This window comes from Homo sapiens, chromosome 8 (assembly GCF_000001405.40).
Source record: "Homo sapiens chromosome 8, GRCh38.p14 Primary Assembly".
Classification (NCBI taxonomy): Eukaryota; Metazoa; Chordata; class Mammalia; order Primates; family Hominidae; genus Homo; species Homo sapiens.
This window is the reverse complement of record NC_000008.11, coordinates 143,407,988-143,435,595: the sequence shown is the minus strand read 5'-3', so window position 1 is coordinate 143,435,595 and position 27,608 is coordinate 143,407,988. Positions and strand designations below refer to the sequence as shown.

Sequence of the window (27,608 nt, the reverse complement as noted above, 5' to 3'; positions counted from 1 at the left end):
GGGCTGAGGGCGTTGACCCCGCCTCACTTAGCGCCCAGCAGCACGGGAGCTCCGGGAGGGCAGGGAGCTTGGGCGTGCAGTGGCTGAGCGAGTGCCCTGACTGGCGCCTGGCATACAGCAGGCGCACCATCCGTGCTTGAGTAGGGGCACAAGGAAGGGGCGGAGCAGCGACAGGCTGAGGAGGGACTCTCAGGAGGCCCTGGGCAGAGCAGCGACAGGCTGAGGAGGGACTCTCAGGAGGCCCTGGGCTTGTTTTTTGGTTGTCGTTTTTAAATGCAAATGAGCCCCTGAGTGGAGGAGGGGCGCCCGGGCAGCAGGAGCAGGGTGGGGGTGGAGGCAGCCCCAGCAGCCCCCTAGCCCAGAAGATGCAGAGCCTCTGTCTGCGGGACGGAGAAGGTTCTGTCTCCTGTGATCAGCTCCGCACAGCAAACGCGGGCACTGGGGGTGTGGGGGTTCTCCCACCTAAATACATGCCCCAAAAATGACACTCCAGACCCCACGCGAGGCTCTACGCAGTTCCGAGCACTTACTCTTGGGGCAGCAGGGTGAGGTTCAGGAGGTCCACGCATGGCCTGGCAGGGTTAGCTCAGCCCTCCTGCGCAGCTGTGCTCTGGCAGGGGTGGAGGAGCCGTGCCAGGAGGGTCCCCTCAGGCCCCTCCCTGCAGTAAAATGCATGAGCTCAGGGCCCCAGCAGACAGCAGACTGCGTGGGGTCCCATGGTGGACAGCAGAGGGAGCTGTGGGGTTCAGCTGGTGAGCACCCCAACCTCCCTGTCCCTCCTCGTACCAGGTTTCCCTCCACCCAGAGCCCTCTGGGGGCCCACGATGACTTCCTGGGCCCTACACCAGCCCCCATGGGCTCTGATCTTGACCCAGCCACCCTGGGCCCTTCCAGGCCCCTCCCAGGCAGTGGCTCTGGGCTCCCTGCTCCCCGGCCTGAAGGGCTTGCCCCTCCATCTGCTCAGGTGTCTGTGAGGCCCCCCAACCCCACCAACCCAGAACTCCCCACCTAGCCAAGCTTCCGCCTTCTCACAAACGAGTGTGGGGGACAGGCCCTGAGGTAGCCTCATGACGCACCCCCCTGCCCAGCGTTCCCACCCTTGGGTGACCCCTTTCCTCCGACAGACTCCTGGAGGGTGGCCAGATGCCGCAGCTGTGATCACGGCACCTTACGCCCCGCTGAGAGCCTCTCCCTGCTGGCCCGAGGCGTCAGGGCCTGTGCTGGGGCTGCACCTGGTGAGGAGCTCAGGGTGGCCTCCAGCCTCCAGCCAGCAAGAAGCCGGTCCTCAGTTGTACAGATTTAAGGAAATAATTCTGCCAACAGCCTGACGATGCCTGGTGGCACAGCCCTTCTCGTCCCACGTTGAAACTGTAGCCCGGCCACCTCCTAGACTGCACCCTGGACGGGGGCTCCTGCTAAGCCCTGCCTGGACACCTGGCTCACAGAAGCCACAAGACCATAAATGTGTGTTAAGTTACTAAACGTGTGGTAATTGGTGAGACAGCAATAGAAGGCAAATCCACTATCATTTTACTCATTATTATTATTTGAGACAGAATCACTCTGTTGGCCAGGCTGAAGTGCACTGGCGTGATCTCGGCTCACTGCAACCTCCGCCTCCCGGGTTCAAGCGATTCTCCTGCCTCAGCCTCCCAAGTAGCTGGGACCACAGGTGTGCACCACCACGCCCGGCTAATTTTTGTATTTTTTAAGTAGAGACGGGCTCTTGCCAGGTTGGCCAGGCTGGTCTCAAAATCCTGACCTTGTGATCTGCCCACCTCGGCCTCCCAAAGTGCTGGGATTACAGGCATGAGCCACTGTGTCCGGCCTCATTTTACTTACTATTTTTATGGCTGATTTTCTGTTCTCTGAGGCCCACTCGGCAGACTGTATTTTCCAAAAACACTACAACAGTGCATCTCAGCCCACAGGCCCCTTCCTCACATGACCTACACAGGCAGTGTCCGTACCCCTGCCCAGGGGGGTGGCCGACCTCTACACACGAGGACCACCAGCATGGTGCAGTGTTCTGAGGCACATGCACCCCTCCACCTTCCTCGGATGCACACACTGGGAACCAGCAGCCATGCTGTGAGGAAGCCCAACCAGCTGCAGGGAGCAGCCCTGTGGAGGTGTCACAAGCAGCTGTTTTGGCCGACAGCTCTCACCATCTGCCAGGCCTGGGTGTGAAGACCCTGCCCAGTGGCACCATCCATCAGCTGTCCCGTTACCCCAACCCCCAAGTCCTCCCAGCTGTCAGGACCAGAGGCAAGCTGTGCCCCTATTCCCAGGACACATCTCCCCCTTACAGAGCCCATGGATGAAATAATACTTGTGCCATCAAGCTCCAGGGGGCTTCTCAACAAGGGACCCTGGCCACCTCCCTGATGGGATGTGCCCCCTAGGCAGGCTGGCTGACGTACTCTAGGTGCTCAAGAGAAGCCTGTTGGGTGCATTGAGTTACCCAGCCACACAGACTGCCCCTGCAGAATTCTGTGAGGACCAAATGCTGAAAGTTTGGAGGGTGTGAGAAGCCCTTGGGTTGGGAGGCTGGCGGGAAGGGAAAGCGCTTCTGGGAGCCCAGGGAACAGCGGAGCACAGGCGAATTCTAGGGAGCCATCCTGGCTTGGTGGTGACAGCACCAAGCCTCAAGGAGGGCTTGGCAGGCTTGGGGCGGATGGGTTGGGGTCAATCTTTGAGGCCACCCCAGCCTCCACCACCTTCTCCCACCTCTCAGAGCAAGATGAGGCACTTAGGCTTCCTGTGGGTGGTGGCGGGATGGGGGTGCCACTGAGTCCAAGCATGGCTGTGGGGTCAGCGTCCCTCAGCCTGAGGTCACAGCTGTGGCCCCGGGGAAGGTTCCCACTGCAACAGCCTGGGGTCAGGCGTCTCCTTCATTCCCACGGGTGTGCTGGAGTCCTCCTGGGCTGGTGACCAAACACCCTCTCCTGGTCTCCTTGGCCTGGCAGGAGCCACAGTGCGATGGGCGGGAGGGGGGGACAGTGGGGACACAGCCCGGTGCAAACACTCTCTCTTTCCTCCTCAACCCCCTTTCCAGTGTGCCCCAGGGCCTCCAGGGTGTGGTACCCAGAAATGCTGCTAGACCCTTGGAGGGGCCGTGGGAGGGCCCTGTAGCCCCAAGGCCTCTCCTGGGGCTGCAGGTGCAGACAACCTGGACTACCACCAGCTCCACTGCGCGGCGGCATCCTCCCTTCCCGGGCCTCCCTCTCAACACGGGGTGCCATAAAGGAAACCCCACACCCCTGGCTGGCTGACCACTCGTGTGGTCTCAAGTCCAGGTACCCAGTGTGGGGACTTGGCTCTGCTGCATGCCCACTTCATTTCTTCATCTGTAGAAGGGTGGGGAGCTCAGAGCCCCCTCTGGGACAGGATCGGGGGAGAGGGGTCCCTGCAGGTGGGTCCTCATGCTGTCCTTGGCCCTCCCTTGCGGGGAGGAAGGCCTGGTCTTCCCAAATCAGCAGTCCCAGCTCTGCCCAGAGGAGTGGGAGGGCCCAGGGAAGGGCCAGGGACACCCCGAGACACCTTAGGAAGCAGATGTTCAGTCCTCACTTCATGACAGTCTTCTTGTTACAAAACAATAGATCTTTGTAGAGGGAAGGAGGTGAGAGCCTGGTACTAAATCTGCGGCGCCGTGACCAGGCCTCCCTGTGGCCTCTGCGCAACTCCTTCCAGGCTTTTTTTCTCTACACAGGTGGTTACATTTTAGACTTTTTTTTTTTTTTTTTAAATTGCTGAAGTCATAGAACAGCAATGGAGAGAATTTCGAGAAGAAACAATAGGCCCACTTCGGGTCACCGGCCTTGTAACTCCTGGCGCAACCCTCCCATCACCCGGCTCGCTGGTGTCGGGGACCTGGGGTCACAGGCCCACCGCCCATCGTCACCTCCTTTGCCCCGTGAACCGGAGCCGTCTCCTCCCAGCAGGTGCACGGCCGCCAGGTGGAAATCCCCGCCTTCCCGTCTCAGTTACCCCCCGTCCCACTCCAGGCCCAGCAAGGCGCCTCCAGCCCTGCGGGGGGCGAAAGTGGGCAGTGGTGGCCGCTTGGGCGGGGATTCCTAACGCCCTGAGGGGCTGCCAGCCCGTGGGCCCCGCCCCCGCCGCTCGCACCCACCCGCGTTGTCCCGCGACCCCCACAGTCCTGCGCTCTCCGCGGCCCCCCACAAGCCGGCCCTCCGTCCCCGGCCCCTCGCGCCGCCCCGCACGCGTGTGTCCCCCTCCGCCCGCCCCGTGCTTCCCGGTGCCCGGAGGTGCCGGCAACTTTGTTGACCAAATTCCTGAACGCGTCTGAGCCGCGGGCTAAAAATAACCGGCTCAGCGCGCCGCGCTCTGCCGGGCCGCGCGGTGTCACCCGTGTCCAGAGGCCCGGAGGTCCCGCTGCCGCCGCCGCCGCCGCTAGCGGAGCTGCCCCCGGCCCCCAGGCCCGGCCGCAAACCCAGGGGGCCGAGGGGGCGTCCCGCCGCGTGGCCCGAGGCGGACGAGGCCCCGAGGGGGTCCCCGGGCGCGGTCCCCGTCTGCTTCCCCGGACTCTCCGGCCGCCGGGTGTGGGAGCTGAGGCCCCTGGAGACGGCAGTTGTCCCCTGAGGCGGCGCGCCCTCTGCCCGTGCAGTGCCCCGTGATGGCCACCAGAGGGCCCTGCCCTCTCCTCTAGCCGGCGGCCCGTCCCTACCTCTTCCCACAGCTGTTTCCCGCAGGAGATTGACAGCTGGGCTCTGAGTTGCCATGGGGATAAGCAAATGAGGGCGGCGGGGCTGGGGCTCCGATTGGCCCGGGGGCGCGCGCCCCTCCCGGGGAGGCGGGCCCAGGCACCCGGCTCTATAAAGGGGCGCGCGCGGCTTCGCGTTTAGCCGTGGGAGGCGGGGCCGGCCGGCGGCGCGGGTGGGGCGCGGGAGCGGTCCCGGAGCAGCCCGAGGCGGCGGCCGCGGGGAGGAGGCGGCGACGCGGGCCCGGGGTCGCCCGAGACACCTGGCCAGCGGTGCCCCTAGCGCGCCGCCCCGGAGTTGACCACGTGAAACTTTTCCCTGCGCCCCTCGGCGCCGCCGCCCCGCGCCGGCGCCCCCCCGCCCCCGCCGGGACCGCCGCCCGCGGGGAGCAGGGGGGGGAGAGGCCTGCAGCTCCCCCCCCACTCCCACGCCGCCCGTCGGGGCGCGGCCGGGCGCGGGCCCCGGGCGATGGCCGCGGAGCTGGCGATGGGCGCCGAGCTGCCCAGCAGCCCGCTGGCCATCGAGTACGTCAACGACTTCGACCTGATGAAGTTCGAGGTGAAGAAGGAGCCTCCCGAGGCCGAGCGCTTCTGCCACCGCCTGCCGCCAGGCTCGCTGTCCTCGACGCCGCTCAGCACGCCCTGCTCCTCCGTGCCCTCCTCGCCCAGCTTCTGCGCGCCCAGCCCGGGCACCGGCGGCGGCGGCGGCGCGGGGGGCGGCGGCGGCTCGTCTCAGGCCGGGGGCGCCCCCGGGCCGCCGAGCGGGGGCCCCGGCGCCGTCGGGGGCACCTCGGGGAAGCCGGCGCTGGAGGATCTGTACTGGATGAGCGGCTACCAGCATCACCTCAACCCCGAGGCGCTCAACCTGACGCCCGAGGACGCGGTGGAGGCGCTCATCGGCAGCGGCCACCACGGCGCGCACCACGGCGCGCACCACCCGGCGGCCGCCGCAGCCTACGAGGCTTTCCGCGGCCCGGGCTTCGCGGGCGGCGGCGGAGCGGACGACATGGGCGCCGGCCACCACCACGGCGCGCACCACGCCGCCCACCATCACCACGCCGCCCACCACCACCACCACCACCACCACCACCATGGCGGCGCGGGACACGGCGGTGGCGCGGGCCACCACGTGCGCCTGGAGGAGCGCTTCTCCGACGACCAGCTGGTGTCCATGTCGGTGCGCGAGCTGAACCGGCAGCTCCGCGGCTTCAGCAAGGAGGAGGTCATCCGGCTCAAGCAGAAGCGGCGCACGCTCAAGAACCGCGGCTACGCGCAGTCCTGCCGCTTCAAGCGGGTGCAGCAGCGGCACATTCTGGAGAGCGAGAAGTGCCAACTCCAGAGCCAGGTGGAGCAGCTGAAGCTGGAGGTGGGGCGCCTGGCCAAAGAGCGGGACCTGTACAAGGAGAAATACGAGAAGCTGGCGGGCCGGGGCGGCCCCGGGAGCGCGGGCGGGGCCGGTTTCCCGCGGGAGCCTTCGCCGCCGCAGGCCGGTCCCGGCGGGGCCAAGGGCACGGCCGACTTCTTCCTGTAGGCGCCGGACCCCGAGCCCGCGCCGCCGTCGCCGGGGACAAGTTCGCGCAGGCCTCTCGGGGCCTCGGCTCGGACTCCGCGGTACAGGACGTGGACACCAGGCCCGGCCCGGCCGTGCTGGCCCCGGTGCCAAGTCTGCGGGCGCGGGGCTGGAGGCCCCTTCGCTCCCGGTCCCCGTTCGCGCGCGTCGGCCCGGGTCGCCGTCCTGAGGTTGAGCGGAGAACGGTGATTTCTAAGGAAACTTGAGCCAGGTCTAACTTCTTTCCAAGCGTCCGCTTGTACATACGTTGAACGTGGTTCTCCGTTCCCACCTTCGCCCTGCCAGCCTAGAGGGACCGCGCTGCCGTCCCTTCCCGGGTGGCCCCTGCCTGCCCCCGCCCTCCTTCGTTCTCTTCTCAGCCTCCCTTTCCTTGCCTTTTTTAACTTCCCCTCCCCGTTTTAAAATCGGTCTTATTTTCGAAGTATTTATAATTATTATGCTTGGTGATTAGAAAAGAAAACCTTGGAGGAAGCCCCTTCTTTCCCCAGCCGGGGTCCGCCCTCAGTCGCGAGTCACAGCATGAGTCGCTCGCCAGGAGGGGCCCGGCCCCTGCCTGCCCCCTCCCCGCTTGCCCCCGACCCTGCTACCGGCGTTCCTTGGAGGTCGAAGCCAGGGACGTCACCCGTGCTGTGTCCAGGCCTGCTGTCCTACTATGCTCAACCGGGGGTGGGGGGAGGGGGGTGAGTCCTGTGCTCAGTCGGGTGGGGGCTGGCCCGGATCCCGAGCTGCTGTCTCTCTATGCACCAGAACATATCTGTAACTCCTGGGGAAATACATCTTGTTTTAACCTTCAAGAGAAGTGAAAGAAAAAAGTAATGCACAGTATTTCTAGCAGAAAATTTTTTTTTTTAAGAGGAGGCTTGGGCCAGAGCCTTCTGGCATGGGGCGGGTGGAGAAAGTGTTTTTATTTTAATTTAAATTGTGTTTCGTTTTGTTTGTGGAATCTTTCTTTAATGCTTCGTCGCTCTTTGGACTAGCCGGGAGAGAGGGCGAGGAGGCGGGTGCTCCAGGCCCTGTAGGCTGGGCCAGGCGCCTGGGGGATCTGCCCGTTTTCGGAGGCCCTCAGGGGCCATCAGTGGGATTCCAGCCGCTCCACACCCCTCCCCTGAGCACTCGGAGTGGAAGGCGCGCCGACTCGTTGAAAGTTTTGTTGTGTAGTTGGTTTTCGTTGAGTTCTTTTTTCATTTGCTACGAAACTGAGAAAAAGAAAAAAATACACAAAATAAATCTGTTCAGATCCAAGTCACCGCAGCCTGGCTGGTTGGTCGGTGGCTTTCAGTTTTGCCGTGTTTCTCCCTGAATTGAAGGAAGAGGAGGGCCCTGCATTGGGCTTTGTGCTGGCCCTGGGTGACGGACGGGCCCTGGGTGACGGCAGGACCAGGGAGAAACTGAGCAGCGAGGCAGCGTTAGCCGGCCTGCACCCCGCAGACCTGTGCCCTCTGCGTCTGCCCTCGGCAAAGAAGGCCGAGGGGCTTTTGGGGAGAGTCACTGAGGCAGGCTGGGGGTGCAGGGCAGGAGGTGTCCTTGGTGGGACACACCGCTGCATCCTGGTGGCCAGAACTGTCCCCAGCCCTCGGAGTCTGCCCGTCTCCCACCTGAAGGCGCAGCCTACCCTTGCTCCTCTGAACGGCTGGCTGGGCATGGACTGGGAGCACAGGGGAGGAGGCAGTACCCCAGAAATCTCAGTTCACAGGGCCCAGGGCGGCTGCAGGACACGTCGTTGATGGTTCCCTCCCTTCACTGCCGGAAGAGAGGCAGGCGAGGGTCCGTGGTTTGCAAATTTGGAGAGAGGGCTTCTGGCCTGCAAGGGCTTCCAAACTCGCCTTTCTTGGGAGGGGGCTGTGCTGCTTTTCCATCGGGGGTAAGCGGAGGTTCTTTCTGGGGACGGGACGGAATCCTCTGTGAGTGAGTCTCCTGAGTTTGTTTTATCGTTTCAAGCGGAGAGACCTGGAGGAAGAGAGGAAGGCGAGTCCTCCGTCAGTCCCTGCCGCCTCCCCCTTTGCTTTTGGGTCTCTGCGGGAGTTCAAGCAGAATCCCAGCAGGGGAGCTGGCCGTGAAGGCATCTCTGTGGAGGAGAATGCTGGTGGGAATTACAGAAATGTGGGGCGGAAGATGGAGTTGAAAAGACTACGCCGGCAGGGACAGGCGGGTTCCAGGCAGCCACGGGTGGCTCAGCCGCCCGGCCCGGGCCTTCGCTTACACAGGCCATCTCTCCCCAAGGAGGGGCGGGGAGCCTTGGGCACATTCTTGGACGGGAATCTGCTGGCTCGTTTTTCATAGTCCGAAGTTGTAAAGAGCAGAGGACATGGGACACCTTAGTTTTCACCATCGCCGCCCCCAGGAGCCCTTTGCACAGAGCCTTTCCCTGGCCGAGAAAGTACAGGACCCAGCGACTTCTGGCAGCCTGGATCAGAGGCGGCCTTTTTGGGGTGGGAGCGGCGGGCAGGGAGCTGTGTCACCCTCCCTGCTCCCTACCCCCACCCCAGGCGTCTGGGAGCCCTGCACTCAGGGGCCAGAACTGGGCTTCCTGGTGCACGGGGCCTGCGGGCGCTGCTGGAGGCTTGCTGGGTTTGGGACTCAGAGGAACCCCACTGCGGCACGTGCCGGGGCTGCCACCGGATCCAGCTTTCTCCGCAGCATGGCCGGGCCCGAGCTGTGGGACCTTAGCAGCTGCTGCTGCTGGAGTCAGTTCACTTTCCTGTTTTCTGTTTTCTCTCCCCTTTCTCTTTCTCTCTTTCGTCTGTCCCCCTGCTTTCCGCCACACACAAGGTGGAGCAGGCAGGTGAGCACCGGGACGCGGGGACCCCTGCGGGCAGGGGACTTCTTATTCCTGTGTTCCGAGACAGAGCTTTATTGAAAACCATTTTGGGGGCTCCGTGAGCCCCCGCGGGAAGATGGCCATGTGTGGAAAGCACCTTTGGCTTCAGTTGCACCCGTGCCCACCCACACAGCACAGGCCTGGACCAGCGGCACACACCTGACCCAGACTCTGTACAGCTGGCAGGGCTGGCTGGAGGCCTCAGTTTGCCCCGAGGGAGTCCCTGGGACCAGTGTGACCCTTCAGGAGGGGCTGCTGCAGCCAGACCTGGCTGGAGCCGGCAGCGGGGGAGGGTGGGCAGCTCTGGGGTTCCTGGCTGAGGGAGGTTGTGTGGCCAGCAAGGAATCGGAGAATTAGATCCCTCAGCTCCTCCTCACTGGGCCTGGAGCCCTGGAGGGCAGCAGAGCTGGAGTGCCAACGGCAGTCGTGAGCATGTGTGTCCCTTGTGTGCAAGGCAGCACCAAGGTGCTTGGGGCTGAGGGGAGCTGGAGGGCCCCTGGAAGGGGCGACCACAGCATCCGCCGCTCAGCTCCTGGGACCCTAGCCCCTGACCCATCCTGGAAGAGCAGCTGACCTCACCCCCACCCCCACCTGGATGTCCCCAGAGGTCAGTGATGGTGCCTGGCCTGGGTGCCCCCTGCCCCCGCCACCGTCACCCAGAACCAGAGCAGGCAGGCAGGGACTCCTGGCACTTCGAAGGTGCCATCCTCTGCCTTCCTGGAGGAGGCTGCCTGGGCCCAGAGGGCAGAGCTTGTCTCCCACACACGCTGGCAACCACCCTACCCACCCTACTGCCCACTGGGGGCCCACAGCAGGGACCCAGGTGACAGCCCTGGCCCAAGAGCTCCGGAGGGAGACACCAACTGGAGTGTCCTGCATGTGACACTCGGCCCCCGCGTGAGCCCTGGGAGAGGGGAGGCTGGGGCCTGAGGCTGCCTTGAACAGGGTGCAGCGTGAGGACCTAGTGTTCCTGGGGCAGCTCAGATATGTGGCCCCAGGAGTTGTGTCCCATCTCCCACCAATGGGAGCTGTGTCTTCCCAGACAGCAGGGAGAGGCTGAAGGGGCCGGGGTTAAGGCCCTGGGCCTGGGTGGACACCCATGGCACACACTGGACACACGAGCAGGAGCACTGGCTGCACTCCCCCCACACTCGCCTGTGCCCGACAGCCCACCTGGACCCCACGCACACACACGTCTGTGCCCGCAGCCCACCTGGACCCCACGCACACACACGTCTGTGCCCGACAGCCCACCTGGACCCCCCCACGCGCACACTCGCCCGTGCCCGACAGCCCATCTGTACCCCCCACACACACGCTCGCCTGGGCCCGACAGCCCACCTGGATGGTCACTGGTCTCCTGCCTTAAGCCCCCGTCAGCCACGCACAGGGCTTGGGCTGGGGGTGCTCACAGGAGAAGGCCAGGGCCTTCCCTCCTTCCTCTGCCATTCCCAGGCGCTGGGCCAAGTGTGGCCCTGTTTCCTCCCCCCACTGCCCCCCAGTACGTCACAGTGGTGGCTGTCGGCAGGGCCCCCCCAGCCTCCTATAGAGCCGGCTCTGAGATGAGGGCCAGGACAAAGCGGAAGTGTCCTCTGCCCCAGCCCCAGCACAAGGGTGGGTACGCTGTGGCACGTGCACACATGCACGGGCACACACACATACACACAGCCCAGAATGTGGGAGCAGACTCTACCCACCCGGGGACACAACAGCAGACACACTTGTGGCCCTGCGTACACACACGCGTGCACCTGGCTGGCACACATGAGGGTGGAGTTACACCCAGACACATGCATGTGGACCCACCGGCCCTATACGCAAACCAACCCCATGGTTTTGTCTGGGCCGGTCCTCCATGCTGAGTCCCGCCTGGCCACAGTGGGCTCTGACATGGGCCTCTCCAGTGAAGTGCGGTCCTCAGCCACTGTCTGCTCGGTTCAGCCCAGCCCACCCTGTCCGGGAGGAGGGGTCCTGGCCCTGCCCTGCCCTGGCTGCCTTGGCCTCTCCTTGCCACCTCTCTCCCAGCCCTGGTCCTTGGAGCCACCGTGAGGGGCCCAGATGCCCTCCAGGATGGAAGCCTCATCCTCCACTGCCAGGTGCTGAAGGCTCCCTAGGGTCACGCCCTCTTCCAGGGATGGATGTGGGGTGCAAGACCCAGCCACCCTCTGGTTGGAACCATCACTAACCAGCCCAGCCAATCGTGGGGGGCTGAAGGCTCCAATTGCTCAGCAGGGACTTGGCTCAGCCCTGGAGGGCCCTGAAGGGGCCTGTCCGACAGATAGGCCTGTGCAGGTCACAGCGTCACCAAGGGTCCTGGCCCAGGGCCAGTGCTGTGACCTGCCACTGGGTATGGTTGGGAGCCTGGGGACCCAACACCCCTACCTTGGGCCTGGAGGAAGGGCAAAGCCATCCCTGGCCCAGGGCCTGGGGACGTGGAACAGGGCGGGTGTCAGGAAGAGCCTGGCCTTCTCCCCAGGGGGCCTTGGTCTCCCCACCTGCCAGCCACTCTGGAAAGCAGATACTCCGGGGCTCTGAGTCAGACACAGAGGTGATGGGCTGACATTTGCAGGACAGGAAAGGGCCACCAGCCCTGTGGGGTCCATGCTTTCCCTTGCCCAGCCCCGACTCCTCCCCGCTGCCCTCATGGCTGAAGCAGCCATACCTCTGCCGTCCCTGGGCCTGGGTGCCTGCTCAGCAGTTCCTGGCCACGGAGTCCAGCCGAGGGCTGGGGAGGCCCAGCAAGGGTGCGGGGCAGGGCCTGAGTGCCCCCGCTGTCCCAGATTCAAGCCCAGCCTGGCCCCACCCTCACAGGGGCCCACCTCCCTAAGGCTGAGGGTCCTGGCAGGTTGTCGGGGGCAGCAAAGGCTGAGACCAGGGCGAGGGCCCAGATGGTCCCGGAGAGCGTGGATGGGACGGACCTGGGGGAGACCTTTCCTGATAGGAGCTGGGAGGCGCGTGGAAAGTCGGGGCGTGAGGTGGATGCAGGTTCTGTGTTCGACCTTGATGGTGTAATCCCTGAGGGTGCACGGGGAGGGGCAGCACGGGGTGGACTTTGGGGGTGCAGCATGTGGGTCAGCAGGGAGAGCCCGAGGCTGTGGGCTGAGCCGGGGAGGGTGGAGGCCTGCGGGGTCTTGGCTGAGCCTGGCTCCTAGGGGGTCTCGAGGTGGGGGCAGGCAGCTCAGACAGGAGTACCCTCCAGGGTCCCTGAGAGGAGGCATTTGGATCCCCGGGCTCCCAGGGAGAGGGTGGCGGCCGAGGGACCCTGAATTAGGGAGTCTGGGGTGGCAGGGGAGACTGGCGGGGCAGGGCCAGCCAGGGCCCGGGAAGTGGGACCGGTGCTCAGAGGACTCGGAAGTTGTGGGGGAGGAGGCAGGGCCTGGGAGAGGGTCTGAGGCGGGAGGCTGGCCCAGGAGGAGGGGAAACCGCTTCCTCACCTGGGAGGCGGAGGAGGTGGGGGATGGGGGAAGGGAGTGTACCCCGAATCAGGAGGTGGCAGGAAGGTGGGAGTGGCTTGGAGCCCACACCCTCGACCCCCACACACAGTCGGCAGTCCGCATGGGGAGCAGTGACAGAGGAATTTGCGGCTGGCGGGCTCAGCGCCTGCCTAATTTGCAGTGACACCGCTCAGCTGCCCAGGGCTCCAGCTGTCACAGCCAATTAGCCCGCGGCCGGGGAGGAGCGCCGGGCAGGGGGGCGGGGGGGCATGAAGGGGTCGGCGGGGGAGGCTGTGGGGGTTGCAGGAGGGGTAGGCGCAGGAGGAGGCCTGTGGCCTTCAGGTCCGGCCCGCCCCCCCAGGCACCCCAACCTGGCTGTGGAGAGCAGCAAGGTGGGGTGCCCCCCAACAGCAGCCCACCAGGCCTGAAGCCCCTCAGCCGCAGCCCTTGCTGCCCCTTTCAACCCTGGCATTCCCCTGAGCCTTGCCACCTCTTCCATGCCGGCCTCTGGGACTCCAGTGCCCTTGACCCCTGGCACCCGAGTTAGGTGTCCTGAGGGCAGCTGGGATCAGTTCCAGCCTGGAGGATAATTCCTCTCCACATTCAGGCCACCGCCTTCCCAGACAGAGCCACCTTGGCCCCTGACTTGCGTCTGTGGCCCAGCCCCTCCCTCCCATGTGGCGGGCTCCGCCCTGGGGCCTCCCCGACTCCACTGCACCTCCCGGCACCCACTCAGCGTGGTCTAGCTCGCAGGGGATGGCCCCTTTGCCTCCCTCCCACCCAGTCCTCAGAGGCTGACACAGGGAGGTATCTGGAACATGCCAGGCGCCAGCCCCATGGGCCTTGATCGCCTCCCCGGAGCAGCCTGGGAGCAGCAGTGAGCGTGCAGGCAGGGTGCTGGGCACAGAAGAGTCCCAGGCTGCTGGCGGGGCCCCGCGGGACTCTAGGGGACTCTGGCTTCTCTAGGAAGGAGGGTCCCGGAGTCCCTTCTCCTGCAGCACCCTTGCTCCCGTCTCCTGGCTGGGACCCAGGTGTCTGGTCACCTCCCCCAGAGGGGTGGGTCTCAGGGACAAGCCATGTCCTCCGGGAAGCCACATGCCCTGGGTGGCCCCTCTCCAGCCGCCGCCTCTGCCCAGCTCTTGGTACAGATGCCCCAGGGGAGCTGATGCCCTGGGGGAGGGGCGTAGCCCACGGCTCCTCTGCGACAAGGGAGTTTCAAACACAGGGGCCCTGGCTGGGCCCACCCCACCCATCCCCAGCTTCTCCCTGCAGCCTCTGGTCTCCTCTCTTCAACCCCAAGGCTGCCCCTCCGCACAGAAGCCGCCCATGGCTGTCCCGGCCCTCCAGCCCACCCTCCTGAGGGATCTGCCCGCCTCCCACCCCCGGCCTCAGCACTCCTGGTGTGCTCCTCCTCACGGGAAGCCCTCTGCCGACCCCACAGCCCCCTTCGTCCCGGAGCACGGAGCACGGAGCACGGCTCGCCTGTCTCAGAAGCGTTAGGCCCCGCAGGCGCCTGGCCCGGCCTCGGCTCCAGCTCCACCCTCTCTACTGGGGCCCTGCCGTTGCCCCTGCTCCCCCGGCCGGGCGGGGGTCTCCTGCCCATTTGCTGCAGTGCTGGGGAGGGGCTGTGCTTTGCCGAGCGGGGCACTGGCGGTGCAGCAGAGGCGTCAAGAGGCGGCACCTGTAGACACGCAGTCGCGGTGTGTGAGACGCGCGGGCTGGGGCGCGGCAGGACGCAGGGCAGCGGTGCTGGGACCATTACCCCAGCGTGGTGGCGCGGGCGCCGCAATCCCGGGCGGCACGAGGCTCAGGTATGGGAAGAGAGACGGGAAGATGAATTGCAGACTAAGCCAGAGGGTGGCCAGGAAATCGGGAGAGGAAAAGGGCGGGGAGGGAGGGGGAAGAGCCCGCCGGGCCTCCAGGAGGCCTCGCCTGCCCGTAGGTGGCTGGGCCTGTGTGTATAAAGTCGGGGCTGGAGCGGCTGCAGGGGAGCAGCCGTGAAATGGGGGCAGGGAGGGCGGCGAGGAACTGGGGACAGATCCTGGGGCCACTGTGGGGGCAGCAGGGGCCCCTGCTTCTGTGTAGAGAGGATCGTGGGGGCACAGGCGGGAGCTGCCACAGTCCAGGGAGGTCGCTGGCCCGGCCCCTCACCCTTCTGTTCCTGCTGGCGGTTCCCTGCAGAGATGGTTCCTCACCCACCGTCTCTGCCCTCTGGGTCCTGGGCGTATCGCATGGGGGACGGGACACTCTGTCCGCCTTGTGCCCTGCCTGGGCCCGCTGCCCTATGGAAGAGCAGGAGGCCGGCACGGGTGCCTCCGAAGGGCAGCCTCGCAGCACATCTGAGGGTGCTTGGTGCACCGCCCTGGCACCACCATACCTGAGAGCTCAGGAGGTGCGGGTGGTGCGGAGGGCTCGCGCGGGGGTGGCTCTGCGAGTCTGGGAGGAAGGCTCTGGTCTCCTCCTCACCTTGTCCACGCGTCTTCTCTGGAGCAGGGTGGGGGCTGCCATCGCCTTGGAGGCGGGTCAGGCGGTGGGGCGTGGGTGGAGACGGGGCCTTGGACCTCGTCACTGGCCTTGGTTAGGTCAGGTGGGCACCTCCCCAGCCCCCCGGCCCAGTCACCAGGCCACCCCCGCCATGGTGGCAGAGGGGCTGGACTGGAGTCGGCCTGACCTCTGCCCTTCCCCAGCTGGAGGTAGAGCGGGGGCCGTCTCTCAGGGCTCAATCACCTCATCTGTAAGAAGACGCTCCTCCCATCGGCCATCCACACAGGGGCCTCATGAGCAGTAAAGAGAGGGACCCGTTCAGCAAGCCCTTCGTCAATCTGAGAAGGCTTCTTGGAAGAGGGGGCTCTGTTCCGAGGGGAGGGCGTGGAGTGGGATGTGCCTCTCCAGGTGCACCGGGGCGGGATTTACAGGGGTGCCCCCAATCCAAGACCGGAGATGTCTTGGCCACGTCTGTGGGGCTTGCAGAGGGGCCTGGGGGAACAGAGCTTGGCTCCTGGCAGGAGGGGAGCAGGGAAGGAGCAGGCATGGGAGGGGCACCCAGAGCTGCCATCCATGGGGGGTCCCCAGCTCAGCCCAGCTCAGCTCCCAGAAGGCTTTCCTCCCCCTACTCAGCCGCAGTGCGCTGCCCATCACTGCAGTCCCCACTCCTCCTTTTCAAACCCCTCATCCGCTGGGTCTGTCCCCTCACCCTCCCTTCCACAGCCCTTCCCAGAAGGTAAAACCCAGCCCTGCCCAGACCTGTGTACTAGGGACAGAACAGCCCCAACTCCTCCCACTTTCTGCTGAATTTGGGGAGCTGACTTAAGCTGAGTTCAGAAACTCTGGGGCCCTGGACAGGGCGCTTAGGGCCACGTTGAGGTTACGATCAGGAAGGTATGACGTTCAGCATTCTCCAAAAGAGAATTATTTCTGCAGGAATTCATGTGACAAGCCCAGACACACTCCTGGCTCCCGCTGTCTAGCACTCTTTAGCCATTAAATCTTACCCACCCACATACACGTAAATAACATTTAAAACGCACTATATAATAATGAATACAAAATATGTTGTCTAATCATTCTTACCTGGAAAGACCTTTATGGAAAATTCCAGGGCCAGGCTGAGCTGCTGCCCACACCCACAGGCTAGCAGAATCCAAGAGGGACAGTGTGGGGGCGGGAGGGCCACACGGACCCCTTCCTTCCCCCAGACCTCCTTTCTTGGTGACAGGGAGAAGGAGCAAGGTGAGGAGGCTTCTCCACCGTGAGTCTCAGACGGAGAGCTGTGCCCTCATTCACCTTTGGAACCTCTGACCTGAGGCACCTTGAGACGCAATAATATTAATACCTTAACTGCAAGACTCCGCGACTCACAGAGAGATGTAAGTGCAGGTAACAGAGAGCTGAAGGAACAATGACTCCAACAAATTCAATGGAAATTTAATTTCTATGTTGTAAAAGTCCAGAAGCTGATGGCCCAGGGTGGCCGTGGTGACTGCTTCACAGAACGCTCTGGATTGAGGCTCTTTTCATCTTGGCCTGTACTCCCAGGGTCTCCTGGCCCACAATGTCAGCTTCCACTCCAACCATCACATCTGCATTTGAAGATGAAGAAAGGTGAAAGAGGTAAAAACAAAAGGAGCATATGAGGTGATGGGTGGATGAACGGACAGACAGCTGGACGTGTGACAAGAAAGATGAGGAAGACAGCAGGATGGGTAGGAACGGGAGGATAGTGGCTGGATGGAAGGATATATGGATGGTTGATGGTGGGTGAATAAATGGTGTGTAGATGGGTGAACAGGTGGGTGAGTGGATACGTGGATGGTCAGTTGGGTGGATGGATGGGTGGATGGGTGGATGGATGGATGGGATGGTGGGGGAATGGGGAGATGGGCAGATGAGTGGGTGGATGATGGGTGGGTGGATGGATGGAAGGGTGCGTGGGTGAGTGGGTAGATGGGTGAGTGGTTGGGTAGGTGAGTGGGTAGATGGATGGATGGGAGGATGAGGCATGGGGGAATGGGGGATGGGTGGGAGTGGGTGAGTGGGAGGAGGGTGAATGAATGGATGGGCGGGTAAGTTGGTGAGTGGGTGGGTGAGTAGGGGGTATGGGGGTGAGTGGGAAGATGAGTGGGTGGGTGGGGGGGTATGGGGAAGAGTGGATGAGTGAGTGGATGGGTGGGTAGGGGGTTAGAGAGTCAGTGGATGAGTGGGTGGGTGGGTGGGGGTTGGAGGGTGGGAGGATGAGTGGGTGGGTGGCTGGGTAGGGGGTTGGAGGGTGTGTGGGAGGATGAGTGGGTGGGTGGGGGGTAGGGGGCTGAAGGGTGGGTGGGAGGATGGGTGAGTGTGTGGGTAGGGGGTTGGAGGGTGGGAGGATGAGTGGGTGGGTGGGTAGGGGGTTGGCAGGTGGGTGGGAGGATGGGTGGGTGGGGGGTTGGGGGTGAGTTGGTGGGTGGATGGGTGGGTAGGGGGATGGGGTTGCCTGGGTGGGTGGTTTAGGAAGCTGTGGAATGACTCCAAACGTGGAGTGAGGGAGCTCAGTTTGTACCACCGAACCTTTGCTCATCTCTCCCCTGGGCCCTCTTCCCTCTTCTCTCCAGAGCCCTCCTCAAATCTCACACCTCCATTTTCAAGAAGCTGGCCTCACCCATGCAGCCTCTGTAGCTCTCCTTCCCCTCCAAGCTTGTTTCTCTCGGCGCTGCCACCGTCGGATTCCTGTGCTGGTTCTTGCTGGTTTTCTTCACCTCCTGACCACCAGAACACTGGCGCCGGGAGGGCAGGGTCCGTGTGTTTCCACGGTTGATTTCCTAGAGGCTGCAGCAGCGCCTGGCACCGAGGAGGTGCTCCATCAATATTTGTTGAAAAGAAAGAAAAGGAAAGCAGGATGGAGATGGACTGACCCTGCCCAGCACCCCTGTCCAGCCCCTGCCCAGCACCCCTGTCCAGCCCCTGCCCAGCACCCCTGTCCAGCCCCTGCCCAGCACCCCTGTCCAGCCCCTGCCCAGACCCCTGCCCAGCCTCCCCTGTCTATTTTCCAGACAGCAGCCAGAGGCGTCTTTGCAGACACCACTGTCCTGCAGCAACCCTCTAAACCCTTCGCCGGCTCCACAGTTTGATCCAGGTCAGTCTGAGTTGCTCAGTCAGTCCTGAGACCTGCCCTCTCTTGTCCCTGTTCTCACTGCCCCCTGAGGCTTCCAGTCTTCCTTTAGGATCTGGGCCAAAATGGCCTCCTCCAAGAAGACCCCAGGCTGTTCTGTGAGCTGGTTTCCCCCTGTGTCCAGGAATGCCCCCACTCCCACAGTAGTGAAGTCTACTTTCCACCTGCTACCATCAGAGTTGAGCCCAGTTCTGGGCCTGGCACACAGGTGGGGCACTCCACAGGGTCTGACAACCCCTCCCACTGACCTGGTCTCTCCTCTGTGCCCACCAGGGACTCTATACTTGGGCCTAGGACTCTCATTCTGCAAGTCCCGCCTGGGCCCTTGCGGCCTCCATGGCATCCAGGGCCTCTTGTGGCCCATAGCAGGTGTGGGCTCTGCTCTTCAGCCTTCTGCAGCCTCCTGGGATGCTGTTCTGTTAGCAGCTCTTCTGGGGCAGGTCACTTTGGCATCAGCCACATCCACTTTTGTTTTTTTGAAGTGATATATGCACATCTGTCTTTTATAAATCAAATGTAGTAAGACGTAAAACAAAACTCAGCAGTCTCCTGCCCATGCCCTGAGTCCCCCACTCAGCAAGATAACTGCTTTCAACTCTGTTTCTTCCAGGAACCTCCTGATATGTTTCGGCTGTGTCCCCACCCTAATTCATCTTGAATTGCAGCTCCCATAATCCCCATGTGTCATGGGAGGGACCCAGTGGGAGGTAATTGAATCATGGGGGTGAGTTTTTCCTGTGCTGTTCTCGTGATAGTGAATAAGTCTCTCAAGATCTGATGGTTTTATAAAAGGCGGTTCTCCTGCACACGCTCTCTTGCCTGCCACCATGTAAGACGCGCCTTTGCTCCTCCTTCACTTTCCGCCATGATTATGAGGCCTCCCCAGCCATGTGGAACTGTGAGTCCATTAAACCTCTTTTTCTTTATAAATTACCCAGTCTTGGTAATTTATTACAGTGCGAGAACAGACTAGTACACCTCCAAATCTCTAAATAAAATGTTTATATTACTATTTCTTGATTTATTAATTTTAGGCATTGTTTAGGATTTCACTCCATTACACATTTGCTCTTCCCCGCCCCACATCCTCCCTATATACTATGTGAACATTTTTAGTTTAGGCCGGGTGCAGCAGCTCATGCCTGTAATCCCAGCACTTTGGGAGGCCAAGGCAAGCAGATTGCTGGAGCCCAGGAGTTTAAGACTAGCCTGGGCCATGTGATGAAACCCCATTTCTACCAAAACTACAAAAAATTAGCTGGGCATGGTGGCATGCACCTGTAGTCCCAGCTACAAATGAGGCTGAGGTGGGAGGATTGCCTGAGCCTGGGAGGTCTAGGATGCAGTGAGCTGTGATCACACCACTGCACTCCAGCCTGGGTGACAGAGTGAGACCTTGTCTCCAAAAAACAACAACAACAACAAAAAAGGCTGAGGCGGGCAGATCACGAGGTCAGGAGATCGAGACCATCCTGGCTAAAATGGTGAAACCCCGTCTCTACTAAAAATACAAAAAATTAGCCGGGCGTGGTGGCTTGCGCCTGTAGTCCCAGCTACTCAGGAGGCTGAGGCAGGAGAATGGCGTGAACCCAGGAGGTGGAGCTTGCAGTGAGCTGAGATCACACCACTGCACTCCAGCCTGGGCGACAGAGTGAGACTCCGTCTCAACAACAAAACAACAACAACAACAAAACCCCACAATACTTTTAGCTTAAAAATATTCCATATTTAAATTATCATGACTACATAAGAATTGTTCTTGCCTGAACAACGTTATATACTATAATTAAATGCTCTTTCCTGAGCAACTTCTTTGTTTTTCCTGGAGTTAAAAATTGCCTCCTGGTTTTCCTTTGTTTGGTTTTCTATGTGTCAACAACAAATTCTTCCTAAATGCTCTAATCATTTTAGAAATCTCTCGTGACATGGCTTCCACACAGAAACTTGCATTGTGTAATCTAGGAAGGCCATTTTCCCTGGATACCTTTCAGCAGGAGCCAACCAGTTTCCTGCCACAGCTGGACTGGCTGCTCTCCAGGCCTGCTGGCCCCTCCTGCCTCACCTGTGTTGGCACCCCCTTCTCTTTCTTGGTTGACTTCTCCTTGTAGGGGAGCATCCTTCAGATACTTCTTCAGAAGAGATGCATGGGAGATAAGTGTTTTGAGATTTAACAAATCTAACAGTGTCATTAGTATTTCCTCACACTAGACAGATAGTTTGGCTGGGTATAGAATTTGCTGTTGGGAGTCTCTTTTCCTCAGCATCTGTAAGGTACTCTGTCTTTGAGCTTCTGTGTGGTTACTGGAAGTCCAGTTCCATCTTTACTACTAATCCTTGGTATGTGTGGAGGCTAAAGTAACATACCATGGAAGCTAATCCACCATGCTGACTTCTGACTAACACTGGTTCCAGGAATGCCTCTGAGATTTTCAGTTTATCTGTTGTTTCTTGCATAAGAGCATATACTGTAAGTCCTGCCTTTAGATCAAATTCCTCCCCATTCCCTCTGAAGCACATGTACCCTTTCCCTATGGTATATAACCTCTGGGTCTGGGGAATTATGGTGTGGAGATCTATATGTCTTGTGGCTGTCCAAGACCACTCTTCTGTTCATAAGATCCCCCATAAAACACACTTTAACAACAAGCTGAATTTGTCTGCCTCCTCCTTTGGTTTCTCAGCTCCTTCTGCATTTGGGGGTTGCTTTGCCTTTTTATGAGACAGTATGTGGCTGGGCATGATGGCTCAGGCCTGTATTCCCAGCTCTTTTGGAGGCCCAGGTGGGAGTATCACTTGGGTCCGGGAGTTTGAGACCAACCTGCTGCAGCCTGGGCAACATAGTGAGACCCCCATCCATACAAAAAAAATTAAAAAATTAACTGGGCATGGTGGTGCTTGCTTGTAGTCCCAGCTACCCAGGAGGCTGAGGTTGGAGGATCGCTTGAGCCCAGGAGTTAGAGGCTGCAGTGAGCTATGATGACACCACTGCACTGCAGCCTGGGCAACACAGCAAGACCCTGACTCAAAAAAAAAAAAAAGAATTCCCTTTATCCTTAAAAAAAAAAGAGAGAGAGAGACATATGTGACTATTTTTTCCCCCTCTGGAAGTTTTTTGGGGCACTCCTTGGCACCAGTGGTCTACAATTCCACAGTGATGCACACGTGTCACTTGCATTGTGCTGGACTTGGGTGAGCCTTGCTGTCTGGCCTGTGCCTTGTCATTCTGGGCGCTGGTCTCAGTTTAGTTCTTTGATCATTGATCCCCCACCTTTTTCTCTCCTTTCTCTTTCTGACTCCTTTTGGAACTTGGACCTCCTGGATCAATTCTGCATTTTTCTGATATTTCCTTCCTGCCTTCTATTTTTTTTTTTTTTTTTTTTTAGATAGGATCTCACTCTATCACCTAGGCTAGAGTGCAGTGGTGCGATCTGGACTCACTGCAACCTCTGCCTCCCGGGTTCAAGTGATCCTCCCACCTCAGCCTCCCGAGTACAAGCATGCCCCACCATGCCCAGCTAATTTTTGTATTTTTAGTAGAGTCAGGGTTTCACCATGTTGCCCAGGCTGGTCTCAAACTCCTGAGCTCAGGGGATCTGCCTGCCTTGGCCTCCCAAAGTGCTGGGATTACAGGCGTGAGCCACCGCGCCTGGCCGTCTCTCTTTTTGTTGTTTTGTGTTTTAATCCTGTCAGTGAATACATGTTTCCATTGAGCTTTCTCTTGTTCTCTGATTGCATGAGTGTTACCACTCTCGCTCTCTCACTCTAACTTCATCCTGTTCTTGTTCACTTTTATTATTGGGATAAGAAGTGTGGCCTCTGAGGCCAACCTGCCTGGCAGAATCCTGGCTCTGTCACTCCTAGCTGTTGACTTTGGGGAGGTGGATGTGACATTCTGTGCCTCACTTCTCTCATAATACTGGCACTGACCTACTGGGTTTATCATGAGTATTAAATCAGCTGGCACATCCAAGGGTCGCGGCTGGGCTTAACTCACTGGGAGCCAGTCTCTGGGTGCTGCTGCCGTTGTTACCGTTTTCTCTGGACTCCATGGGTCTCCCTGGCTCTGTTGCTGGTTGACCTGCTCCACACTGGAGGCTCTTCTCACCTGCCTGCTGGTGCTCAGCTGATCATGAGTGAGGCCTGGCATTCTGGTGACCTGGCGGAGGGTGGTGGAGGGTGGCAGAGGGTGGCAGTGGTCTTGTCGGCAGATGGGCCTTTCTGTAGAGGACCAGGCAATGGGGAATCTATCATTTTGAGAGGCTGGTCTTTTTCCTCTGGCCATTGAGTTTTTCAAGGAAGGCTCCTCTGCTCTCCTGCCTGGGGACTATGGGCTGCTGGTGTCATTGCTAAGAGAAGGAGGGGCAGGCGGCTGAGCTTGGTTTGTGATGGCCACTCAATCCCCTATCTTCAGTGAGAGCCTCATACCCACCCTCCAGTGAGCCTGGTCCCAGGCCCAGTTTCCCCAGGGTCCCCTGTGGCTGGGAGAGGCCACAGCGAGGGGCCTAATGGCTCTGACGGATGCCCACCCGGGCCCAGCTGAACGTCTGGCTCACCATCTGCTCCACTCTGCCAAGATAGGCACCCCAGCCATGGAGCACTTTGCCACCTCTTCCCTCACTGGTGGCTGCTGCTCCACTCCCGTTCTCTCTTTCCTGCAAACGGCACCTCCCTCTTCCTCTTCGGTCATTTTGGTGATGTTTGGGAGAGACCTGTGCTCCAGAGGCCACGTCTAGTGGAGCCTGGTTCCCAGGATTTAAAGGGCCACAAGCTCAGGACAGGCTGAACCAAGACCCCTCCTACTCCAGGGCCTTCCCTTGGAGGGTTCACGGTGGGGGTGGGGGCGCAGCAGAGGCTACCTCAAGGGAGGCCCGAGCCACCCAAGCTGGACTAAAGCCAGGTTTGGGAGGCGACAGCGGAGCCCCCGACAGTGGGCAGAGGCAGGTCCGACTCCACCCATGGCACCCGCTCTTCCTGCACTGCTGTTTCCAGGGTCATGCCTTGGCTCCCAGCCTGCCGGGTCCTTCGTGGCTCCATGCAGTGGGCAGGGAGGTGAGGTCAGTGAACAGGGGCCACTGCCTCTCCACCCCTTGTCCCCATTAAGGGGACAATGAGAGAATAAGCACTTTTCTTTCTTCATTTCCCCCGCTGTCTGCTAATATCATATTGATGATAATTTCTCTTTAATGGGCTATTTGCAGTAATTATGATACACTGAGAGAGTAATTGTATCTGACTCCTAGCGCCCATCGTGGTTGGGGGGGGCACATGGCCTTCCACCCTCTCAGCTAGGGCAGCTCTGCCCTTTTTTCTTTGCCTAGGACCAACTGCCTGCCCAAGGACCCCTGGTGCCAGGGTCCTGCTGGACTTTGCCATCCAGGAAACGCAGCCTTCAGAGGCCAAGACTCCAGGCTCTCAGCCTCCTAGAGCTGATGGCGCCTCTTTCCCAGGCTGGGGGACCCCAAGAGGCACCCCATCGGAGCTAGTAAAAGCTGTATACCTCAGGACAGAGCACTCCCTCCCTGCTCCTGCGGGGCAGCTCCAGGCTTCCATCTGGGTCTGACTTGGGCAGCAGATTCCCCAAAGGACTCGGAGGTCCTCATCACAGCCAGCCCCCAGGGCCTGCTGGCTTCACAGGGCAAGCCCTGTGGCCTCTGTCTCTACTGGGACATGAGTACTCCTGGGCAGGGACTTCCCTGCCTTGATCTGGCTGCATGGAGTGCCTGGCTCACAACACGAGTGACACACATACTTGTTAAATGAAGGCAGAAATCTTGAAGAATGTTCAATCCAGGCTGGCGGCTTCAGTCACAGCAGGGTTATGCCACGTGGACATCTGAGGGCCCACTTCTCAGCTGCATTTGTTAGGGACCCACAGGCACCAGCTGTCTGCACCACTCACCACCTCGGAGGTGTGGACCTGGCACCCCCCAGGCCCTACCCAGGGCTTGGGCCTCCTCCCAGTCCTGCCACTCTCGCAATGCCCACATTTGCCACCCAGGCCCCAGGCTCGGTTGGACAGAGAGTGCTGGGGTCCCCAACAATAGTTGGGTCCTTCTCTGTTCCTGGGACACCCCAGCCCAGGTAGAGGCCAGAGGCCATCCAGAGGGTGACGTCAGGCGCAGGTCTCAGGAGACACAGGAACTCCAGAGCCCATTGAGTCTTTGGTGAGGACCCCGCCCCCACTAAATGTCCTCCCAGGCCTCTGGGGCCCCTGAAATCCACAAGCCTGCCCTCACTTAACAAGGGGACCATCCTTCAGACACTCACCAGGCTTTCAGGATAGAAGCTACTAGAGCCAGGCAGAGCCCTCATGAAGGGTCAGCTGTGTCTACACTGCCTTCAGTCCCAGCCATATGGTCCCAAGAGCCTCTTGGCTCTATCACCACCATCACCATGACCACCACCACCACCACCATCACCACCACCACCACCACCACCACCATGACCATCACCACCACCACCACCACCATCACCAACACCACCAGCAACACCACCACCACCACTAACAGCACCACCACCACCACCACCATCACTATCACCATCATCATCACCATCACTACCACCACCACCACCATCACCATCACCACCAGCACCACTATCACCATTACCATCATTACCACCATCTTCACTGCCACCATCTACCATTACCACCGTCTTCACTGCCACCATCTACCACCACCACCATCACTACCACCACCACCACCATCACCATCAATACCATCATTGCCATCACCACCACTACCACCACTATCATTGTAACCATCACTACCATCATCATCACGATCACAGCCATCATTTCCACCACACCATCACTACCACTATCACCACCATCATCACCACCACCACCATCACCATTACCATCACCACCACCATTACCACTGACATCACTGTCACCACCCTCTCTGCCACCATCACCATCACTATTACTGCCACCACCATCACTACCATCACATTATCATCACTATTATCACTACCATCACTGCCATCATCATATCACCAGCACCACCAGCACCATCACCACTACCACCACTGCCATCACCATCATCATTATCATTGTCATCATCATCACCACCACCACCATCTCCACCATCATCACTGCCCAGTTTACCATCCGTTCCTACTTGGACCAGAGCCTTGCTGGTTGCATGATCTGTTGGCAGATAAGACACAACCTCTTGAAATTCTGAGAAAAACTAAAGGTCAAGCCTGAGCAACATAGCTAGACCCTGTCTCTACACAAAATAAACAATATTAGCTGGGCATGGTGGTATGCACCTGTAGTCCTAGTTACTTGGGAGGCTGAGGGGAAGATCGCTTGAGCCCAGGAGGTCAGGCTACAGTGAACTGTGATTGCGCCACTGCACTCCAGCCTGGTCAACAGAAGGAGACCCCATTTAAAAAAAAGGACTATTTTTGCTCACGAAGTGGTAAATAAGGCGGTGTATCCAGGGCTGAGGTTGTCCAAGAGGGACTTGCACCTGGCCACTGTGGTTGGCGGTGAGGAAGAACATTTGCTAAGTTGAACAGCATGGCCAACAGGTCCAGAGTGCGGCAGGAGGAGAGCATTCCTGAAGTCACTGTCAGCCCGACAGAGGCTACAAAGAGAAGCTGACTCAGACACATCTGCTCCAGGCCCCAGGAGCAAAGGGCTGGGAAGTGGTGTGGCCTTCACTTGGAGGCACCAGGCCATGAACCCACCCTGCCTGGACCCCTTCAGGTAATCGCAGTCTGAGAGAAAGAGGCAGGTACAGGTGGAAGTCAGAGGCCAGAGGTGTGGAGTGGGGAGGACTCCCTCCCAGGGGCCTGGGGGAGCTGAGCAGAGGATATGGGAACCCCTGTAGACGCTCAGGGTGGGGGTCTTCCCGCCTGCCTCCCTACCCCTCCGCTCACCCTGCCCCGCATCAGGAAGCAGGGCTGCGGGCCACAGTCTCATATGTCTTTTCTGGTCAATAAACCCTGGCTCCTGGGGCTGGAGGAGCTGATGGCACTGCCTGCCCCCACCGGTGTACTCTGTCATAATTAAGTGCATACAGCCTAACTAATTGAGTGGTCAGGATGCTAATTAGTGACTTTATTGAGACTGAAGGAGGGTGAAGGGCAACCTGGCACCAAGTCCCCCTCCCCAGCCTGGACAGCTCTGCTCTCTGCATCCCCAGGAAGTGGCCCCCACCCCTCACCCTGGCCCCCACCCTCTACCTGGCCCTTGTCCGGCCCCTGTGCCCTCACCTCTGCCTCCTGTTACCCTCAGCCCCAGCTGTTGGCTGTGATGTCTGCACCTCTGGCCTGGGCCCCCAGGCCCTGCCCCTCCTCCCACCCCTGGCCTGACCCCCAACTTTGATGGTCCCAAATCTCCCTGGTTCTGGTCACGGCCTGTGGCCTCTCTTGTCCTTCTGTGACTCTCAGGCCTGGTCACCCCTCCCCATGCTGGGCTCTCTCCTCTGTCACACACCCCTCAGCATCCCTGCCCAAGGACAGCCTAGCGTCCTGGGAGCTGGGCCTCAGGCCCTCTCCGGGCAGCCTCCTGGGGCAGAGTGTGTCCTGGAGCCTCCAGCCACTGGCCCTGTCCAGGCTCTGCCCCCAGGGCAGCACACTCACTCCTCACCACAGTGTCCTGGCGCCATCTGTGACCCCCGGCCTCTCCAAGCAGCCACAGGTCCACGGGAACCTGAACATGGCATCAGGTGAGAGGCAGGTGAGCATGGCCAGACCCCACACCCTGGGAGTCCTTCTCCTCTGAGCGGCCCCTCCCCAACAGGCTCGTGGGGTGAGGAGAGGGGCTAGGGGGTGGGAAGGCTGACGGAGGGAAGCCTGGGGATAGGTGGGGAGCCTGGGGGTTGGGGACTGTCTGGAGAGACCTCCTGCCACTCTCGTCCAGCCCACCAGCCCCGGTCTCCATCCCAGCCAGGCCTGGGTCACCAGGCGGCAGTAGGACCGCACCCTCTTTTCCCTGGAGGAGAGAAGAGGGGCCCTGTAGATTGGCCACGCGCTCGCTGAGCCTCAGTGACCTCAGCTGTAAGGTGGGTGCTGATGACAGACGTACCTGCTGCGGGGTGGGAGGAGCAGGTGACAGGCTCATTCCCGGTAAGGCGGGCCTGGTCCCCATCCTGGCTGCTCTGCCTGAGGCGCTCTGGGAGAGCAGAGGCGGACACAGAGGCTGGGACCACCTGAGGGACTTGCTGGGGCTGGAGGAATCCCAGTGCAGAGGCGGACACGACAGGGCGGGGCAGGGGCCGGGAAGGGAAAGGGTGGGCGGGGAATGGGTGGGGCCGATGTCGGAGGGACGGGACCGGGAAGGGGCGGGGCCGAGGCCGGAGGGGCGGAGCCGGAAGGGGCGGGGCAGATCGGGGCAGGGGCCGTGGCAGGAAGGGGCAGGGCGGGGACCGGCCGGGGACCTGGGCGAGGCGGGACGGGTTTGGTGCTTG

At 60.8% G+C, this 27,608-nt stretch overlaps 1 protein-coding gene and 1 long non-coding RNA gene across 8 annotated transcripts, besides 4 other annotated features; one reads left to right on the top strand and one right to left on the bottom strand.

Annotated features, from left to right (window-relative positions):
- Positions 4,508-4,947: a silencer, noted in NCBI's record as "silent region_19622". NCBI's record gives its function as "represses an Ori minimal core promoter by ATAC-STARR-seq in GM12878 lymphoblastoid cells {active_cell/tissue: GM12878}" and the evidence as "EXISTENCE:reporter gene assay evidence [ECO:0000049][PMID:35858748]".
- MAFA (MAF bZIP transcription factor A) lies at positions 4,864-7,532 on the top strand. Its single transcript, NM_201589.4, has one exon. The coding sequence runs from the start codon at positions 5,190-5,192 to the stop codon at positions 6,249-6,251; it is 1,062 nt and encodes a 353-aa protein (NP_963883.2). The 5' UTR covers positions 4,864-5,189; the 3' UTR covers positions 6,252-7,532.
- Positions 9,019-9,108: an enhancer, noted in NCBI's record as "active region_28071". NCBI's record gives its function as "activates an Ori minimal core promoter by ATAC-STARR-seq in GM12878 lymphoblastoid cells {active_cell/tissue: GM12878}" and the evidence as "EXISTENCE:reporter gene assay evidence [ECO:0000049][PMID:35858748]".
- Positions 12,516-13,103: an enhancer, noted in NCBI's record as "H3K27ac-H3K4me1 hESC enhancer chr8:144504663-144505250 (GRCh37/hg19 assembly coordinates)". NCBI's record gives its function as "activates a minimal SCP1, AML or CMV promoter by ChIP-STARR-seq in naive H9 embryonic stem cells {active_cell/tissue: H9 hESC(naive)}" and the evidence as "EXISTENCE:reporter gene assay evidence [ECO:0000049][PMID:30033119]".
- On the bottom strand, positions 16,446-27,403 carry MAFA-AS1 (MAFA antisense RNA 1). 7 transcript variants are annotated; one of them, NR_186793.1, is made up of 6 exons: positions 27,227-27,403; positions 25,608-25,781; positions 22,114-22,404; positions 18,435-18,682; positions 17,677-17,872; positions 16,446-16,621 (listed from the first exon to the last, which is right to left on the bottom strand). It is a non-coding gene; the product is annotated as an MAFA antisense RNA 1 (long non-coding RNA). The 7 variants fall into 7 exon arrangements; NR_186792.1 differs by having other exon boundaries at positions 17,677-18,686; positions 22,292-22,532; NR_186791.1 differs by having other exon boundaries at positions 17,677-18,682; positions 22,217-22,404.
- Positions 27,401-27,600: a silencer, noted in NCBI's record as "silent region_19621". NCBI's record gives its function as "represses an Ori minimal core promoter by ATAC-STARR-seq in GM12878 lymphoblastoid cells {active_cell/tissue: GM12878}" and the evidence as "EXISTENCE:reporter gene assay evidence [ECO:0000049][PMID:35858748]".